This window comes from Homo sapiens, chromosome 8 (genome assembly GCF_000001405.40).
Source record: "Homo sapiens chromosome 8, GRCh38.p14 Primary Assembly".
In the NCBI taxonomy this organism is placed as follows: Eukaryota; Metazoa; Chordata; class Mammalia; order Primates; family Hominidae; genus Homo; species Homo sapiens.
The window spans coordinates 28,366,312-28,387,004 of NC_000008.11; the positions used below are offsets into that span (position 1 = coordinate 28,366,312).

General features: G+C 47.8%; 1 protein-coding gene across 1 annotated transcript in view, besides 4 other annotated features; it reads right to left on the bottom strand.

Moving 5' to 3' along the window:
- ZNF395 (zinc finger protein 395) overlaps window positions 1-20,149 on the bottom strand; it is a 40,871-nt gene extending 20,722 nt beyond the window's left edge. The window contains exon 1 of the mRNA NM_018660.3: window positions 20,082-20,149. The gene's annotated coding sequence lies outside the window, so the exon portion shown is untranslated. The remainder of the gene's footprint in view (window positions 1-20,081) is intronic.
- Window positions 17,749-17,923: a silencer, noted in NCBI's record as "fragment chr8:28241577-28241751 (GRCh37/hg19 assembly coordinates)". NCBI's record gives its function as "represses an EF-1alpha promoter that drives an FKBP-Casp9 reporter gene in an ReSE screen in phorbol 12-myristate 13-acetate-treated (for megakaryocytic differentiation) K562 erythroleukemia cells {active_cell/tissue: K562(+PMA)}" and the evidence as "EXISTENCE:reporter gene assay evidence [ECO:0000049][PMID:32094911]".
- Window positions 19,140-19,209: a silencer, noted in NCBI's record as "silent region_19054". NCBI's record gives its function as "represses an Ori minimal core promoter by ATAC-STARR-seq in GM12878 lymphoblastoid cells {active_cell/tissue: GM12878}" and the evidence as "EXISTENCE:reporter gene assay evidence [ECO:0000049][PMID:35858748]".
- Window positions 19,750-20,059: a silencer, noted in NCBI's record as "silent region_19055". NCBI's record gives its function as "represses an Ori minimal core promoter by ATAC-STARR-seq in GM12878 lymphoblastoid cells {active_cell/tissue: GM12878}" and the evidence as "EXISTENCE:reporter gene assay evidence [ECO:0000049][PMID:35858748]".
- Window positions 20,380-20,479: a silencer, noted in NCBI's record as "silent region_19056". NCBI's record gives its function as "represses an Ori minimal core promoter by ATAC-STARR-seq in GM12878 lymphoblastoid cells {active_cell/tissue: GM12878}" and the evidence as "EXISTENCE:reporter gene assay evidence [ECO:0000049][PMID:35858748]".

A 20,693-nucleotide genomic window follows, 5' to 3' on the forward strand; every position in this document is an offset into this window, starting at 1 on the left:
TGTTTGGTTAATATTTAACCATATCATTCTTTATCTTTTATCAGAAAAGTGCCAATTTTTCCTTTAAATCTATAACATTTTTACTTAAGTTTTTCAGTGTGATGTTCTAAACTTGCAGGGCATAGTGGTACACGCCTATAGTTCCACTACTCAGGAGGCTGAGGCAGGAGGATCGTCTGAGCTCTAAATAAATAAATAATCAAAGGCCAAAATGTTTGCAGTGAATGTTTGCATCTCTTATTTCACAATGGAACTCCATGGAGAACAAGATTCCCAAAGAATTCATTTTCAGCAATTCTTAGCCAACATCTCTGCTGACAAATGCCATGAGTACTTGCAAGCATATTTGTAAGTATATGCAAATATGTTTATGGTCCTCCTGGTTTGCAGGTCACCATTTGAACCTTGGCAGAAGCAAACTGTCCCATCCCATACCCAACTGCTACCTGGTGGCTGGTTCTCAAGCCTTTTTTTTCCTGGTATGTCTTCCCCAAAGAAAGTTTAAAAAAAAAAAAAAAAAAGACACTTCGCTAAGCATACATGGACCTTTTCTTTGAAGAAATAGGAGAAAACTCCTCCTGGCTTTCAATAGAAAGCCAGGGCCTTAGCAAGAGCATCAAAAGCCGTGACTTAAAACTTCTAGCTCTCTGGAATTACCAGGTCCTGTTACCCTATTTTTAAGAGGGGTGTGGTGTGTACTTAGGATTTTCACAGTACAAGCTTCAGACACATGGCACTGAGCATATTGGTGATTGATTCAAGTTCTCAATCAGCTGGTCAGAGTGTGACAATGTGGATTCTCAGGGCATTCTAATTATTGTCTTTTTCTGAAGGTTTTAAAAAACTGGACTACACTGCATCAGTGTAGAATAGTTTAGACTACCAGTAAAATTAAAATGATAGAATATCAAGACTGATAGGGACCAGAATAATTGTCCAACTCCCATTCAGGGCTGGTATTTTCTTGATGGCATACCCTATAACTGAGCATCCAGCCTTCCTATTACTCTAAGTAATAGATGTAATACAGTAATGGAAAGGAGGAAGAAGGGACTCCCAACTAACACTACTATTTTCATATTCCAGCAGATGGGCCATAAAAATAGGTCATCTGATCTGCTTACAGCAAATTCTCTCCAGCAAATAATAAACGATCCTGATCAACAAATATTCCTGCTGGTCTGACTGCACAACAGTCATTCAATCAAGTAAAAGAGACTGTTTCTGTTTGCGCTGCTGGCAGGAAAGCGTTTCCACAGCTCTACCCAGGAAAAAATACACTTCCCCTTCCTTCACACCTACCTCCCCATTTGCTCTCAGAAACGCAGTGCCTTTGTTCACGACTCTCTGGAGTTCACACTACCCTATTACACAAGACAGCTCTTAGGACACTCCTTGGCACATAGTGAGGGCTCAGGAATCCACAACCCTCTCTACTGGCACCGATGGGACTGCAGCCTCCTTAGACTGATCTTAAACAGCTGATCTTCCAGCGGTAAGAAGAGGCCCAGATTCAAGAAAAACGTGTTATAAGAAAGAATACCTGCTGCTGGCCCTAAAATGAAGGCAAAAGTATCAAGAGCATTCGAACTTGCTTCCAAGACAGGGTTTCCTTAAAAACAGGTAGACAGAAGGAAGCAGGTATAAGCAGGACTATGCTGACAGATGTCTGGGTGAGGGGACGCAGTTGTCCTGCAGTGTTTTTGTAAATGCATGGGGCGCTGGGGCGTGCATGTATGTGGTGGGGCAGGGGCAGCGTGCAGTGTGGTTAAACCTGATTTAAACTGTTCTCAAACCACATGACAGTTCCAGAAGGAGGTGGGGAGATGGATGATTGCTGACTTGGCATTTTACCCAGAGCCAGGACTGGAGGGAGGGAACCAGGAGCCGAGTATCCCTGGGGAGAACAAGCCTCACAGAACTAGCAATTCTAGCAGTCTTCAGGGTAAACTTCTAAGAGACCTGCACAGGACCTCAAAGCACCCACAAATGCTTGAATGGCACTCAGGTTTATACTCTCTTGAATGCACACGCTGGGGGCTTCTCTTCTTTCCCAACTTCCCAGCAACTCAATAAAATATGAAGGAACAACATTATCCCCATTTTAGAGCTGAGAACACAGGTTCAAAAAGGTCACCTATTTGTCCAAAATCCCAAAGCTAGCAAGCAGTGGCATTGTCAGTTTCCCGCGCTGTCCTGGTCCAGTTCTCTCTTCCCCACAAGTGGAGACCCAGCAGCAAGGCGCGGCTCAGGCCTGGGGAGGGTGAGTTGGGGGGATCCAGAGGAAGAGAGTGAGTTTCATGGAGAAGGGATTTACTGGAAGCACTTGCAGTAACAACAAGCAAAAGCTGCCAATTAAAAAAAAAAAAAAAAGCTGCCATTCCAAAAATATAAAACACAGACGTGAGAGTTTTAAAAGCCTAACAACGCCCCAGGTGCCAATCCCAAGAGGACAAAAAGGGTTCCTACATTCTCGCTCCTTGAAGAAAGCAGAGGAACACAGGAACATGGACTCTACTTTCTTTTCTTTCTCTTTTTTTTTGAGATAGAGTCTCGCTCTGTCGACCAGGTTGGGGTGCAGTGGCGCCATCTCGGCTCACTGCAGCCTCCTCTTCCCAGGTCCAAGCAATTCTCCTGCCTCAGCCTCCCAAGTAGCTGGGATTACAGGTGCCTGCCACCATGCCGGGCTAATTTTTGCCTTTTTGGTAGAGATGGGGTTTCACCAAGTTGGCCAGGCTGGTCTCGAACTCCTGGCTTCAAGTGATCTGCCCACCTCGGCCTCCCAAAGTGCTGGGATTACAGGCATGAGCCACTGTGCCTGGCCAATTTTTTTTTTTTTTTTTTTCATTTAGGAAGTTAAAGTAGAAACACTATTTGGAACTCAAAAGTCATTTGAATGGATCATCACATTCCCTGACAATGCCAAACAAAGGAGAATCACTCCTGAGGGTGAAATGGTTAAAGGAGAAAACTGGTTTGGAACTCAAATGTCACTTCAATGAATGATCACATTATCTGACAATGCCAAACCGACAGGCAGGGGAGCCTGGCAGGAGGATGAGAGCTACCTGGTGACTCACCTGGCTGGAATTAACATGTCATAAAAAGGCAACTGCCCTCTCCTTGCGGTGGGTAATCAAGGCACCCATTTAGAGGCTTGCTGGTCAAAATGAACCAACTCCAGTGTTCCATGCTTGGAGCTCAACACTAAGTCAGACTGCTCTGGCCCTGGAGCCAAAGCCAGTGACCGACCCCTGCCCATTACCCATGTGACTAGGTGCCTGCCCCGCTCACTTTCGGTACCGGGTCTCTTTCCTGCTCTGTTCCCCCAAGCCTGAATCTCAGCCTTGGGGCCCTGCCCTCAAGCCTCCCCCAGGTGGGGCCTGGCCAGCCTCTGGGAGCTAATCCCGCCCACACGGGTGGGGGCAGACCCACCTGGGGAGGGACTCACCGGAACCCCCGGGAAAGGGCCCCAGAGCAGAAAAAGCCCAGCGTCTTTAAACATATCAGCCCTGCTGCTATGCAACATGTGGGTCCAGCTCTTGACCATGCACCAAACCAAATATTAAGAAGCCTAAGAGTCAGACCCTGCCCTTAATGAATTTGGGGCCTAAATGAGCTACCACCTGGTCCACACAGCCAGCACTTGTGTATAAAAGCACTTAATACGCTCTGAAGCTACATTTATGTACTGTGTTGTATAATGAGATGAATGAATGAACATTTGCATCTCTCAGGAAAATGAAAAAAACATTCAGCAATCTGACACTGAAGCCTGATTTTTAAAAAGGGGGTTTTTAGAATGGAGCCCATGAGTTAGATGAATATCCATGTGAACATTTTCCATTTTTGACATCAGTTAGATAAGTCAAAATAAAATATGTTATGAATCTAAAAAAAAAAAATCCACTGAGTGACTGGAGGTTGAAGGAGACACAGGTTTCACCCCAAAAACAGAAAGTCAGCCTTAGTGACGAGAAGACAGGCACCATCGGGGAAGATTTAAATACATAGTGGAAAATAAACGGAGTGGAGGAGGGGCTCGCCCAGGGCTCAAACCACTAAGGAAGTGCCTTAAACGTATTTTTCTCTGGAGGAAGCCATTTAAGGAATCTTTATGCCCCAATAACTGTGGGCATGAGAATGAGTTTCGAGACGAAAGAGAGATGGAGAAACAGGCTGAATGAGAGTTCACCCCAGTCCCAGCTTAGGATGTTGGGGTGCCACTCTCTGAAGCTTTTCTTGAAATGGATGGGGTGGCGGCATTAATCAGAAGCTGCTCACTGGTGAGGACGTTCTGAGCCCAAGTGACAAAATAAATGTGCATCAATCGCAGACAGCAGCTGGCACATACTCTCCGAGTTTTCAGAGAAGGAAGGGATAAAATCAGCACCGGGTGCTGGTGAGTTCTGCCTGCCCCAGGAACACAACTGAGGGGGCTGACACACACACCCCCGCCACCTCAGGCCAGCAGGTAGACTGGACTTAGTTCAAGGCCAGCAGAAGAGGAGAATCTTTTGAAGAAAAGGCAGTAGGATGTTCCCAAGAAATAAAATCACATCTAAGTGACAAGAGAATAACAGGAACCCTTATATGTAATCCGTGGCCTTTCAAAGACTGATGTGCATTCAGGAATGTTCTAACAGCTATCATTTATCAAAGACTTAAGTGCCAGTCAACTTGCTGAGCATTTCGCAGACTGTGTCTCATTTAATCCCCCACAAATAACCCATGAGATTATAAATACCATCATCATTCCCATTTTACAGATGAGCAAACTGAATCTCAGGGTGAGTAATTTTCCCAAGGCCACGAAGCTAGAAAATGACAGAACTCAGAATGTGAGCCCAAATGTGTCTGATTTCAAAAGCTATGTTTGTTTGTTTTGAGACAGGGTCTCCCTCTGCCACCCAGGCTGGAGTGCAGTCGCACGATCACAGCTCACTGCGGCCTTGACCTCCCAGGTTCAAGCTATCCTGCCACCTCAACCTCCCAAATAGCTGCGACTACAGGTGCGTGCCACCACATCTGACTCATTTTTGTATTTTTTGTAGAGACAGGATTTCACCATGTTGCCAAGGCTTTTCTCGAATTCCTGGGCTCAATCGATCCTCCTGCCTCGGCCTTCTAAAGTGCTAGGATTACAGGTGTGAGCCACCAGACCCAGACAAGCTATGCTCTTTCTACTATGTTGTACAGCCAGGAAATGTATGCATCAAGTGACAGACCAAACTAGATGACCACATAAGCTTCCTTGTTTTTAAAAACTTGAGTCACCAAGAGGCTAATGTGGTATTAGTGGTTGTGGCATGGAACGGGAAATGTGCATTATGACAGCAAAGAATCAAGCATGGGATCCCCCAGGAGCAGGGCGACAATTCTTCTTATTTCACCCTTTACAAATATCCCAAAGAGAATGCACAAACAGTCAGGGCTGCCTTAAGCTCAGACTTCCGGCTGGGCGCAGTGACTCACGCCTGTAATCCCAGCACTTTGGGAGGCCAAGGCAGGTGGATCACTTAAGGTGAGGAGTTCAAGACCAGCCTGACCAACATAGCAAAACCTCATCTCTACTAAAAATACAAAAGTTACCTGGACATGATGGTGGGCACCTGCAATCCCAGCTACTGGGGAGGCTGAGGTATGAGAATTGCTTGTACCTAGGAGGTTGCAGTGAGTCAAAATCATGCCACTGCACTCTAGCCTGGGTGACAGAGTGAGACCCTATCTCAAAAAAAAAAATAGTTTTAAAAAAAAGCTCAAACTTCCCCATTGTGACTTTGGCCAAATGACCTCACCACTCTGTGCCTCAGTTTCCTCACGTGCAAAATGAGAAAAAGTATTGATCCTATCCCAGAGGATAATTTGGGGCTTTAATGAGGCAATGAATTTTTTTTTCCAGAAGTGCCTTGATTTTGTTAAGAGTTCCCAAGCTCCCCTTCCTAGAGATTCTGATCCCCCAGGTCTGAGAGAGGAAACAGTGAGAAAATGCATGTTGGATACTGAGCACTGTGCCTAGCAAAAGTGCGCGATAAATGCTGACCTGAAAAAAAGTAGACACCAAATCCCGGGCAGTGAAGAGCCAAACCTATCGGAAAATTATCAGAAAGAGTTTGTGCAAATGCGGGGGAAATACAGTAAATTTTAACATCAACAAGGGCAGTGTAATAGATGGTAAGAAAAAAATGAAAACCATGCAAGAGCTCTATGGAAACAGTCACATCCCAGCACTTCGGGAGGCCGAGGCAGAGGATGGCTTGAGCTCAGGAGTTCAAGACCAGCCTGGGCAACACAGGCAGACCCCATCTCTACAAAAAATACAAACATCAGCCAGGCGTGGTAGCATGTGCCTGCAGTCCCAGCTACTCAGGAGGCTGAGGTGGGAGGATCACTTGAGCCTGGGAGGTTGAGGCTGCAGTGAGTTGTAATTGTCCCATGCATTCCAGCCTGAACAACAGAGTGAGACCCTGTCTCAGGGCCGGCGGGGATAAAAAAAGATGACTTATGAGGCCAGAGGACCATTAACCTAAATGTGCTGTGTGACAGGGAGGGCAAGCTAAGAAGGCAGCGCTCTTCAGGACAAAGGATCAAGGCCAGGAGGGCCCCAAGAGAATCCGCCAAGTTGGAGAGAGGAGTAGAATGCCAACTTGGTCACCAAATATTGAAATGACAGAAAAGGGAGGCCCCACTAACATCAGCTGGAGACCAAAGAGGGGATGCTGGAATACCCCAGTGAAGGCAAATGAAGTGCACACTGCATTTGGACAGTGAATGAATGCACGAGTGGGGTTGCCCTAGGCTCCAACTAGCACTGCTTCATTACAGACTGCATGGAGATTTGAGGTTGAATGCACGTAAAATCGTGAAGGCTGCAAAGGGGCCTCTGCCTCTCCCCACCCAGGTGGCCAGGGACACCGGCCCACAACCGGCCACAAAGCTGTCTTCGGGAAGGGCACAGCCACTCCCTCCCTTGCCACACTGGCTCCTAAATGCATGGGTTTGATCTGATAGGATTAATTCTCATGTTTTCCACAAGTTCTATAGAGAGATAGAGATGAAGGCCAGAATCGTAAACAGTGGCACATGCCATTCTTCTGTAATTAACATAAACTGCTAATAACAGCCACGTGGCCGCATTCTAGATGCCTTTAAAGAACATCATGCTTCCAAACGCCTCACGCTTTGCTTGAGTGTTTAAGCCACACTGGATTACAAAGGCAGCCTGGAGAAGAACCGCAGGTGCGGTGACGGTCTCCAGGCCAAGTGAACTGAGTTTAGAATTTCCCATCCAGAGTCCACAACGGGCTGCCCGTTCGGCCTGTGATTCTTTTCCACACAACCACTATCAACATACGGGTCAAAGTCCTCAGGGGTTGGGGGGCGGGAACCAGGTAGAATTAACTAGGAGGCCCAGAAGAGCCCTTCCCAATACCAACCCTTCCCACAAACCAGCAATGGTATGTGCGACCTGTGAGGCCGGTGAGCATCCACCTAGCACACTCTAAATCCTGCCCCCTTGTCTTCAAATAACTGCTTAATGTCTGAGCACAGGGCAGGCATCCCCCGTCCCACAGTAACTCTAAGTGAGGAACTGACCCCATAATGCATCTTTGTTACAATGTACAACTCAAGAACCCTACGGCCCAGCAGTTCCACTTTCTCAGTACCTACCCCAGAGAAAACTCACAGGTGCTATAGAGGTCTGTGCAGCAATGTTTTTTGGTATCAGCGTTTTTAACAGTAAAGGATCTGGAAATGACTGAAGTGCCCATGAATTAGGGAAAGGTGAAGTACTTGTGTAGCCTTCTAATTCAAAGGGAGACCGGGCAGAGGTTAAACAAAATCAAGGAGACCTTTGCATAGGAGCCGGGAACTATCACCAAGCACCCTGTTGAGGGAGGGAGAGGCAATTCAGTAAAGAGACCTTACGTAATCCACAGCCAATGCACTTAACTTTTTGTAAGTCCTATAGGTATAGATGTGAGTATGTGAGGCATCTGAAGAACAGCAAGTCCATGAAAGTGCTGGACCTCTGGGGAAGGGACTGGGATTAGGAACAGTCATCAAGGAAAACTTTCTGATTGCTGCAGAAGTTTTGCATTTTTCCCCTCCAGAGAATGTGTTCGTGTACTAACTTGCGCAATGAAATTTTCATTTAAATTTTTTTTTTAAAAAGAAAAGAAACAGTCCCTGTTCAATGCATTTCAATAATATGTTTGGGGGCAATTTCACCCTGAATCTGGGCCATGCTTCCCAGGGGCTGTGAGCTCAGCAGTGCACATCTGCGTTTCCAGTCAGCAGTGGGCTTTGCAGCACAGATCTTGTTTCAATATTACAAGCCCAACTCCGCAACTCTGTGGATTGTTAAATTTATATGCTAGTTCAAGGAAAAGGCAGGGAAAAAAGAGAAAGTATGTCAATGGGACTTCTGATCATCCAAAGGGATGTCCTAGGAGTAATTCCAGTTCTTCCAACCCAGCACTGCAGCACTCCAACACAACACACACGTTCCCTAATAAGCCAGCCCTTGCCCAATCACACTTCCTCCATACCAGGCCTAGCTGTCTGTGGTTTTGACTCTTTCAGATGGGAATCAGGATTCCTAATATAAATCCAAATCCCCTGAGCTAATGAGAAAAAAGAATCTGAACATCCCATTGCACAAACTCTAAAACATTATTATTCACTCACTGGGGACTCCTAACCACATAGGTTACTGCTTTTTAAACAGACACGCACCCCCTGCCTCCTCCTCAAAGCACTACCTATAGAGTCCTTAGAAATACAAAATTGGCTGTGCACAGGTAGCTCATGCCTGTAATCCCAGCACTTTGGGAGGCCAAGGTGGGAGAATCACTTAAGGCCAGGAGTTTGAGATCAGACTGAGCAACACAGTGAGACCCTGTCTCTAAAAAAAATTTAAAAATTAGCCGGGTGTGGTGGCACCTACCTGTGGTCCCAACTGCTTGGGAGGCTGAGGTAGGAGAATGGCTTGAGCCTGGGGAAGTCAAGGCTGCAGTGAGCTGTGATTGTGCCACTGCACTCCAGCCTAGGAAACAGTGCAAGACTGTCTAAAAAAAAAAAAAAAAGAGAGAGAGAGACAAAATTATAATATTTAGAACCTACTGAGCAAAACTAACTTATGGCAATAGAAATCAGATTTGTGGTACTTCTGGTTGGGGGTGGGGCTTATCTGGAAGTGGTCACGAGGAACTCATCTGGGGTGATGGAAATGTTCTGTCTCCATACGTATGTGTCGAAACTGATTAAACAGCACACTTAAGATCTGTGCTGTATGTAAATTACACCTCAATTTAAAAAAGAACTCCTCACACACAGTTTCTCTCCCGGCTGCAGCAGAACTCTGAGCTGTCCTATCAGACGTTGGAAATCTCTGTTGTGCTATGCAAGGAGCATGAGTACCATGGCGACAGTCACCATAAAAATAGATAACAAGATTAAAATGGACACAGGACACATGAATTTAAGAACAGCACACCAAGAGCAATTCATTTTCAGCAGAAGAAAAATAGAAAGAGGAGAGGGAGTTTTCAATTCCTCCGGCACTTTGACAAGCAGCCACTGACTGAATGCGGGTGTTTTTACTAAGAGAGTTGTATATGGCTTCCTGATACTCAAAGGACAAAAAGGCTGACAACTGGTTTTTTGTGTTTTGTTTTTCTTTTTATTTTCTTTTTGTTGCCCAGGCTGGAGTGAAGTGGCACCAGCACAGCTCACTGCAGCCTTAACCTCCCCGGGTTCAGGTGATCCTCCTTCCTCAGCCTCCCAAGTAGCTGCAACTGCAGGTGCATGCCACCACGCCCAGCTCATTTTTGTATTTTTTATAGAGATGGGGTTTCACCATGTTGCCCGGGCTGGTCTCGAACTGCTGGGCTCAATCAATCCTCCCACCTCAGCCTCTCAAAGCAGCTGGGACCACAGGTAGTCTCAAAGTGCTTGGATTACAGGCGTGAGCCACCATGCCCAGCTGGGAACTATTACTTCTTATCATATTTTGCTTTTTTTAAAAAAAGGCCGGGCTCACGCCTGTTAATCCCAGCACTTTGGGAGGCTGAGGTGGGAGGATCACCTGAGGTCAGTTCAAGACCAGCCTGGCCATCATGGTGAAACCCCATCTCCACTAAAAAAAATTCAAAAATTAGCTGGGCATGGTGGCGGGAGCCTATAATCCCAGCTACTCCGGAGGCTGAGGCAGGGAGAAATGCTTGAACCCATGAGGCAGAGGTTGCAGTAAGCTGAGATCGCACCACTGTACTCCAGCCTGGGCAACAGAGCAAGACTCTGTCTCAAAACAAAAAAAAAAGGCATGTTAGCCCAACTTTCCCCCAAACCCACTATATGTAGCCCAGGGAACCAAATCACAGCAATTCAACAAGCACAGTTGATGTGACAGACACCATGTGAGGCATAAATGATACAGAGACAAAGGAGACTAAGGCCTGTCATCAAATGTACAAAAATTTTCAACTCTAGTTCTAAATAACTAGGTCCTGCCTATGCTTTTCACATACATCTAAAACTGCCATTTGTTAAGTCAGCGCACCCCAAAATTGCTTCATCCCATATAAAAAGAGCACTTTCTTGCCAAATACTGATTTCTCAAATGCCAAAATGCAAGCATATATCATGTGGAGACAAAAATCATCTTACAATATTCTCCAAAGATGAGATAAACCTCTATTCTCTTTGCAGAGCTAAGAAACTTTTGCTAAGTGATTTAGTCCAAGCAGTGACCTGCACAACAACAAAAACAACAACAAAAGTAATCCAAAAATATCAGGAAGAGGAATCTAAAAGTTTTAAATAATCAGGGCGGATTCTAAATAAAGCATATATTTCAGTGAAAGTTAAGCAGAATTAAACTAAAAAAAATTTCATATGTAAGCTATAAGTAATACATATGCAAAAATTTAAAAAAAATTTAAGCCAGAAGCAGTGGCTCATGCCTATAATCCCAGCACTTTAGGAAGCTAAGGTGGGAGGATGCCTCGAGCCCAGTGGGTCGAGGCTGCAGTAAACCATGATTGCGCCACTGCATTCCAGCCTGGCAACAGAGTAAGATCCTGTCTCAAAAAAATTTTTTTTAATTCAAATTACAAATTTATTGTCTGATATAAACTAAACATATGTTTTCCTGGAAAATCCCACTTTAAAATGTCTTTAAATTGATCTGCCCTGTATTCTCTTTATCGCTAAACTGAAGAGCAATCAGATGGCTCCATCTCATCACTGGTGTCAGGATGCTGTTGAGCAAGGTGCTCCTGGGGATATAAATCCACAGTGCGGGACAGGAAGTGGGAGGAGACATTCAAGGTCACTCCACATTCTCCACGGCCAAGCAGAGGACCCAGCACCCACTAACAGCCCCCTCTTGATTTAGTCATCATCCCGAATAGAAGTGGCATGATGATCCCACTTTTTTTTTTTTTTTTTTTTTTTTTGAGAGATGGAGTCTCACTCTGTCGCCCAGGCTGGAGTGCAGTAGCATGATCTCGGCTCACTGCAACCTTTGTCTCCTGGGTTCAAGTGATTCTCCTGCCTCAGCCTCCCGAGTAGCTGGTGTTACAGGCAAGCAACACTACGCCCAGCTAATTTTTGTATTTTTAGTAGAGACGGGGTTTCACCATGTTGGCCAGGCTGGTCTCAAACTCCTGGCCTCCAGCAATCCACCCGCCTCGGCCTCCCAAAGTGCTGGGATTACAGATGTGTGACACCACACCCAGCATGATCCTACTACTTGTCTACATGTCAATCTGTGTTGTTCATTATTACTGGCCATTTCCCGGCCCCCCACCACCACCAACCTTCTTGCTTTTCCTAAGGACCAAATTTAATTTTCAGCAGCCCTGGGTTCACAAACTGAGTTCTGACCCAACTTAAAATAGTTCTCATCCTTGGTTTCCTTTTTTTGAGTCGAGGTCTCACTCTGTCACCCAGGCTGGAGTGCAGTGTGCCACAATCACGGCTCACTGCTCCTGGCTCACTGCAGCCTCAAACTCTAGGCCCAAGTGAGCCTCCGACATCAGCCTCCTAAGAGCTGGGACCATGGGCAGGTGTACCATCATGCTTGGTTAATTTTTCTATTTTTTGCATAGACAAGTTCTCTCTCTGTTGCCCAAGCCAGTCTTGAATTCCTGGGCTCAAGCAATCCACCCACCTCAGTCTCTCAAAGTGCTGAGATTACAGGCGTGAGTCAATGCACCTCACCTGTTTTTTGTTTTGTTTTGTTCATCCTTTCTAAAATGATCCCAGAAGGGTCTCTCAAAAATGCTGGGACCTATTTATAAACATTTTTAAAGAACACACTTGATGATATTGACTCAAATACTTGCCACTGAAGGTAAAGCCCCTATTCTATGTGTCTTTCGGCTTTGACAAGTCATATATTAAATAACTGACCCTCTAAATTGGAAGAGACTTTGGAGGTCGGCCTAATTCCTGTCCTTCTCTTCTACCGCATCCCTAATCAACAGCATTCAGCCCTACTTGAATACCGCCAACAGCCGTAAGCTCACTACTTCCTGGGCAGACATTTCTTCTGTTGGACAGATCTGCCAGCTAGAAAATCCTTTTTCATATTGAACTGAAATCTGCTGTCCCAGTCTTTCGGGTCAAAGGGGACCTCAAAGTCTATCAACTTCAGCATGATCGCTGATCATTCTACAGACAAGGAATCATGTAATCATGCCATAAATTAGGAATCTGCAGCTACAGAGAATAAAGTGACTGTTTCATCTATTGGTTGTATTCGAACACCAGGAGTAAAAATGAACGTCTCCTCCTTCCTATGTCTGATAACCAGGAAAATATTTGAAGGTGCTACTGTGTACCCAATGCATGAATACAGTTTAGTTATTCCCTATCCTACAGCATCCTACTCTCCTTTCCAGGATCAAGTCTTCTTGCTCATATCCCTATTAACTCTTGGCTCTCCAGGGTCCAAATGTCACCTGACCAGCCAAGGTCATTAAGACTAGATCTTATGATTAGATCACTGAATTTCTGATCCTGTTATAAACTGCATTCAATTTTTTAAAAGCCATATCTTAGAGCTAAGCTCAGTGGCCCATGTGCGTAGACCCAGCCACTTGGGAGGCTGAGGCAGAAGGATCGCTTCAGCCCAGGAGTTCGAATCCAGCCAGGACAACATGGCAAGACTCATGACTCTCTGAAAAAAATAAAAATAGAAACAAATAAAAATAAAAGCCTCATCCACTGAAGGCTCACACTGAACTGATGAACAACAGAAAAATCCCAACGCTTTTTTTCTCCATGCCCTGCCCCTCCTCAGTGGACCTGTGCCAACCTGGGGTCAAAGACTCTGTCTTCCACTGTGACTCTAGTTTCTGACCTTGAGGTTGACACAGCGAGCAGGCACTCAAGATTAATCACTGAATGAATCATCTACTTTACCCTTTCTTGTCCTTGAACCATAAAAAGTTTTAAAAATTGCAGATGTCCCCACTGTGGAATACATACACAACTAGAAAAGACAAATAATACAAACGTTAAAAAAAAAAAAAAAAGCTGCATGCCTCAACCCAACCAGAAGCAACTGGTATTTGTATTTTGATATACTATTTTGGTGTATTTCCTTCCAATTATTTTCTAAACACATTGCTTTTTTAACATTTGAAGTCACACTGTAGATGTCCCTTAACTTTTGGCAAAAACATTTTTCCCTGTTATTTTAAAGCTATTCCTAAACATTATTTTTCATGACTTCATAACATTCTATTTTAAAGATATCAGAATTCACTTATTTATTACCTCTAGCCCACACCATTGGATATTTAGGTTATTCCCAAGTTTTTACTAGAGTTTAAAAAAAAAAATCTCTGAATAATCTCTGTGCATAAATCATCATCTACATTGTGGATATGGTCTCAGCTACATCCCCAGAAGTGGTATTATCTTATCAGGATACTGAAAATCTCAAAACGCTACAATTCAAATTTTTAAACCTAAATCAGACTTTAAATTCATCCCTTACTGAATTTTTTTCTGTTTTCTTTTTAATTTGCACTCCTAATTCTAGACGACTGAACCTTGATTTGTCTGCAAAACCAGCAATTCCTCTCACTTCTGCGCCACTAACAAATCTGATGAGCGCGCCTTCTCTGTCTTCACCGCCAACACTGGGAAAATGTTGAACAGATCAAGGCCAAGAATAGAACCCTACTGTACTCATTTTCAGATCTCCTTCCAGGCTGCCTCAGTGCCAATAATTAACAGTTTCACATAGGATTGTTAAATTAATAACACCATCCAGCCCACGTCTTACCACTTATGATTTAATAAGGACCATCATACCTCAAAAAACTGTTAAATACTTTACTGAAGCCAAAATGTACCATAGTTGCTGCACTATTCTCTGGCCTAGTAAACAAACCACCATATAAGACAGGAAATAGATTTAATTTGATACGATTCAGCTGGCTTCTGGTTATCCTTGCATCCGATAGCCACACATTGTTAAAATGCACTTCAGTTTCATTTTGTTAATGTTTCAAAAGCAGTATACTTTTTCTTTGAGACAGGGTCTCACTGTTGCCCAGGCTGGAGTGCAATGACGTGATCTCAGCTCACTGCAGCCTCCACCTTCTGCAGGGCTCAAGCAAGCCTCCCGCCTCAGCCTCCTGAGTAGCTGGGAGTACAGGCATGCACCACCACACCCTGCTAGTGTGTGTGTGTGTGTGTGTGTGTGTGTGTGTGTGTGTGTGTGTTTTGACGGAGTCTCGCTCTGTCGCCCAGGCTGGAGTGCAGTGGCACAATCTCGGCTCACTGCAAGCTCTGCCTCCGGGGTTCATGCCATTCTCTTGCCTCAGCCTCCCGAGCAGCTTGGACTACAGGCGCCCACCACCACGCCCGGCTAATTTTTTGTATTTTTAGTAGAGACGGGGTTTCACTGCGTTAGCCAGGATGGTCTCGATCTCCTGACCTCGTGATCCGCCCGCCTCAGCCTCCCAAAGTGCTGGGATAACAGGCGTGAGCCACCGCGCCCAGCCCCAGCTAGATTTTTTATCTTTTGTAGAGACAGGGTCTCAACCATGTTGCCCAGGCTGGTCTCAAACTCCAGGGTCCAAGCAATCCTCTTGCCTCAGGCTCCCAAAGTGCTGGGATTACAGGTGTGAGCCACTACAGCCGGATCAGTATTTTTAAATAACTGATTTTAGTCCCACCTGTAAACATCAGGGTACTATTTGTCAGTCTCTCTCACCAGTGGCTCATCTGGGACGAGCTCTTAGTCTTGGGTGGTAAATCAGACTATTCTAGGTCACAGAGTCCTGAACTTAGTCACTTCAGCTGGACCCCAAATCAGCCTCGTCTGCTGGGAGCCATTTGGATCAATACCAGGCTCCTGAGAATTGTACGTCATATGGCACCTGATGGCTGTGACTCACACCTCACCAAGGTATGACCTCGACATCACTCTCAGAGATCCCTGCCAGCCAGAAGCGGAAAATGGAAAGGCTGGAGAAATCTTGGGGTCACTTGAAACTTGCCTTACTACGGAGAACACAGGTCAAAGCCCTCTATAATTCCATTCCCATCATCATAAAAATATTTCAAAGTCCCAGCCAGCAGCTCCTCAAAAAGTGCTATTGACTTGCCTAAAACAAATCCGGTGCACAGAAATATCTCAGATTCCATAATGCCACACTCCTACCCGGAATCCTCAGTGGCCACCCAGAGCCCATGACAGCAATCCCGAATTTCCTGGCCCAGCATTCGAGTCTCTTGAAAACTCAGGTCGCAAAGCAAAACGCCTACAGGACTAAGTGAAGAATGGAAAGTGACTGGACTGAGGCAAAAGGAAGCCCGGGGACCACAAGCCTGTCTCCTGTCCATAGGGGACAGCCTTCTCAGCTTGAGATGAACACCAGATCTGACTCTTTAAAAGAGCTGCAAATCCAGAGATTTTTCTGTATTTTTTCCCCCAATTTTTAAACACCTTTATGTAGTCCAAACTAGAACACATCCATATGCTTAAAACACTCCCTGGCCACCGGTTTACAACCTTTGCCCTATATGTGACCCCAGCCCACTTTAACAACTTGATTTCTCCCTAATCTCTAACAAGAACCCTCTGTTCTTCTCTCTCACACAATCATAGACTTTACACTTTCCTAACTCCAAGGCTTTGCCCACTCTATACCTCCCCACATCTGCAGCACCCTGAGACACCAAAAACAGTTCATCCCAGACTTCCTTCCTTGTCCCTAAACGTTTTTCCAAGCCCCACCAGCACAGAACACGCCCCACTCCTCTGAACCCCACAGGTAGTTATTCTTTATGTTGGCATTTAATCATCTTGGCTTGCTCCTTAATCAAGGTGTCTCTCATCTTTCCAAAGAGACTGTAAGTCTTCCACCCTTCCTCATGCTTTCTTCCACCTTCAGTACTACAGTAGCTCTTCAAACAGCTTAATAAATACTCACTGAATGCGAAAACTCTCTATTTTTCAAACTGTGGGTTATGATCCATTAGAGAACGATTAGATCAACTTAGTGGGAGACAAGAGGTTTTTAAATGAAAAATAATAGACTAGAAAATAGAAATGTCAGAGATGACACCAAGCAAAGGGAGGTAGGTACTTTATGAACTTAGATTAGATTTTTATATACATGATTGTATGTACTAGGTCACGATGTAAATTTCATTTCTTAATGTAAGTCACAGTCAAAACAGTACAGACACTGCTTTACAATGAGTAAATTAGCTTGACCACTGCTTCATGCAATTATTCTTTGGACAATCAGACACACTCTATAAAGAAAAATATCTGATTCCCAAGTCCTCTTCTACTAGTTCACTGATCTTGCATTTCAGAGAAACAAGGAGGCTAAGTAACAGTAATTACATTCTCAGCTCATTCCACAACTTTTTGCAATCATCATTCAAATTCAGATGTTGCAAGTTGAGGCTTGGGGAATTTGTTCAGCAAATCACCCTGTGTCACCCTTGCAACATGAACAGAGCTCAAGAAAAAAAGCACCAGCTCCCCTCTACTTGCAGGGTGCCAGGCTCTGGTTGGAACAGCCCTGGGAATCACAATATCCCTAGGGCTAATGTCTTCCTGCCTCACTCTCTCTCTCCTACCCTCCAACCCTCCACCCCAGAAAAGTTCAAAATGTTTCAAAGCCCAGCAATTTACTGTCTTTAGCAAATCCCATTCTACACCGTTCTAACCTCCAATCCACCCTCGAGATTAGAAGAATCAACAGCCCATACTCCTCAGGGCCCAATTGCCCACAGTTGCTTTTCCAACTTCAGGTTCAGAACCGAGCAATGTCATGTGAATGGCAGTGCAGCAGAGGGAAACAGAAGCCCCTCGGTTCAGGCCTTGAGTACCACTCAAAGGCATCCTCCGCTGCCCCCCTATTACCAGCAGCCTCCCCACTTCTCTGAGCCCCTTCCCTCTCCCGGCATCTGTAGCCTCTGCAACACTGTCCCCCCTGGGCTCCCCCATCTCAGAGCCATAGCTGCTTGCAGGACACTAACATCTGGATATCTTAGCAGCCACAAGAAACTTCTCTATAGCCTGAGTAGCCAATTCCTTCTCTCCAAAATACACATTTCCGATTTCTCAAGTTACCAACTACAGCAGCTCCAAGGCCCTGGCGTTGAATCAATTTCCACCAAGAATTAATTTCCATTCATCTCATCCCTTCACCCTGCCCTGTAAACAGATTATTTCAACAGTAATGTTTCTCAAACCCACCTTTTTCACTTCCAGTGATCCCAGTGCAAACTCTGGCCACCCTGCAACTCCAACAGCCTGCTCACTGATGTGTCCCCCTAACACAACTTTCCAAAACCCTTCCATTACAGTTGTTCATTACACCATTCCCTCACTCAAAAACCCTGAATGTCTCCTTAGGACACACAGGGTGGCATGCAATCACCAAAAGGGCTAAGACTTTCACAATCTCAACCATTGTTCCTCTCCACCTCTATCTCCTACTGTTCAGGATACATTCCCTGGTATGGCTAAGGACATCTCCTTGTCTCTCTGGAAAGCCATGTTCATTCCCACCTCACAGCCTATCTCAACAGCGTCAGCCTCCAGTCCTGGTGACTGATCCCTGCCCACAACTCCCTTCTCTGACTCCAACAGAACTATTTCTGCACCTCGCACTTTGACAGTTACCATTCCCTCTCTTGGCGTCTGATTTCACATGCTGACATCCTTCTGTCCCCTCTATGAGGGCAGAAGCCCTGGAGGGAGGGAATCATCTCTTACACCTTCTGTCTCCTCTCTCCCCGAGACAGGTATGAGCCTCTGCTCCTCTGCTCCACTTTGTAAATTATCCCACCTGTTACTTTCTTCTCCTCTTGTCTTTGGGCCCTACGGGTGAGTTACTCTCCACAGGCATAATTTACTTCAAAACTTAGTACTCCAAGTCCCTTCCCCAATCTCGTTTTTCCTTTATCTGATATACTCCCTCTCCAGCATCTCCACTAACTCAGGCAGCCACTGCACATTAACTTGAACGTAAACTCCTAAATCACTTCCACCTAGTCCTAGGCTTCCTGAAGCCTGGGGTCTCTTCGGTGCCTCTCCCACCTCCCAGAGGGCCTGGCACCGTGCTGAGAGCACAGCAGCTCCCTGACAGGACCTGTGGAGTTGAACTTAATGGCCATGTTTCCCTGTGTTTCGAGGTGTTTGCGACCAGGTGCTTCTGTTTACACAACGCCTAGGGAGGGTGTCAAGAAGGCCTTAGATACCTGTGGATCACTCACTTTGAAGCAAAACCCCCAGGTGTACTTTTCTAGAAAGGGGGTTCTAAGAAAAGCAGCGCCGGCCTGCAGGAATCCCCCGCGCCTGGTAGCCTGGCATCATGGGAACGCCTGCCCGGTGGAAGTCCTCCAAGGCCACAGGGAGCTGGCCAGGGCTGCCCAAAACCGGGAGGCGGCGGCGGCCCCCCTTCCCGCTGGCCAGGTGGGCTTCTTTAGGTCTCTGAGTCAGTTCCAAAGTGAAGGCGCTGAGCCCTGCACTCCCAGGCAGGGAAGAAAACGCTGCCTTGGAAATTGTTTGCACAAGACAAACTCCCTGTGCAGCCCCGCCCCCCCCCCGGGCACCCGCGTGAGCCCACGGTGCCACCGCCGGGGAGGGCCAGGGGCGCGGGCGGAGGCGGGACCGGGCGAGAGCGTGCGGGCAGAGGGGGCGGTGGCCGCCAGGGCGGGAGGGACGCGGGTCGCCCGCGGGCGGAGGGTGTGTCCCTCTGTCCCGCCCGTCCCGCAGCCTGGCCTCGCGCGCCGGCCGGAGTGGGCAGGAACCGGCAGAAACGCGCGGGGCGCGGGAGGGCCGGGCGCGGGAGGGCCGGGCGGGCGGCCCCGCCGGAAAGGGCCGGGGAGGGGCAGGCGGGCCGGTCCCTGTCCCTGCGAGGGGCGAGTCCCGACTGCCCGAAGTCGGGAGGGGGCTCCGAGAGTGGGGGCGCCGGCGGAGGGCGAGGTAAACAAGGCGACGCGCGGGAGCGGCAGCCACCCCGCCCGCCACCCCGGCCCTGCCGCAGCGTCCCGCGCCCCGCCCGCCGCGGCCCCGGCCTCCCAGACCCCCGGACCCCCCAGGCCGCCGGCCCGACAGCCGCGGGCGCGCGGGGCGTGGGAAGTTCGCGGCCGCCCCCGTCCCCGGCTGCCGCGCCGCTAGGTCCCCGCGCAGCTCACCTCGGCCCGCCACGAGCGGCAGCACGCGCCCGGCTTCCCCGGCTCGGACGGCTCGGCTCGGACGGCTAGCTCAGCTCCGGGCTGCAGCGGCCGCGGCCCTGCCCGCCCTCCCGGCGCGGCCCGCGGCCCGGCTCCGCTCCGGCCGCCCGCCGAGGCTCGGTTGGCGCCCACCTGGCCGGCCTGCCCTCCTCCCCGGGACACTGCGCTCACGTACGCGGCCGCGGCCACAACCCGGCCCGGATTCCCGCCCGGGAAGGGAGCGGAGCAGCACGCCAGCCCCTGCCAGCCGGCGCCCAGCGGCGACACTCGGGACACACCCCCGCCCGCCCCCCGCGCCTCCGCGCCCCCGCACCCGCCCAGCACGCCCCCAGCGCGCCTGGGCTACACACCCCCGGCCGCCCGTAGACAGTCGGCGCTCAATAAGTGCCCGAGCGACTCCTCGCGCACATGCGCACTTGAACCTGACCGAGTGGTGACCCCCCCCTCCACACACACACACACACACCCCGCCCCGCCCCTCGATCGGAACCGGCAGCTGCAGCCCGGAGCCAAACTTGAGGCTTGGCTTTTCGCACCGAGCCAAAGTTTCTCTCGCTGTTGTTTTTCCAGGCCTGCCTCTGGGACAGGCTCCTCCGAGAGGGGCCGGGCTCGACCCAGGGCGGGAAGGGAGCCAGACAGCTGGGGCGCCGCGGACGGGAGCTCGGCTGGGGCCTGGGGGACCCAGGCGGCGCAGCCCCAGCCGCCCCAAGCGCCCATGCCCGCGCTAGTGGGAGGAGGCTGGAAAGCGCCTTCCCATTTTCCTTTGGACTCAATGTTTTCTTCCCCATTTCATGACATCTCACTCCTCTGTCGGTGTAAAGTGAGGCGTTATTTACTGTTGCTGGAATTAAATGGGAGAAAGTTAACTGTTAGCCTTCAATCCTTACGTAAACAAGACCGGTTGCTTTTGGCACCGTTAGGCTCTGGCTTTTGGATAATTTGTAACAAGGAGAATTGAAGTT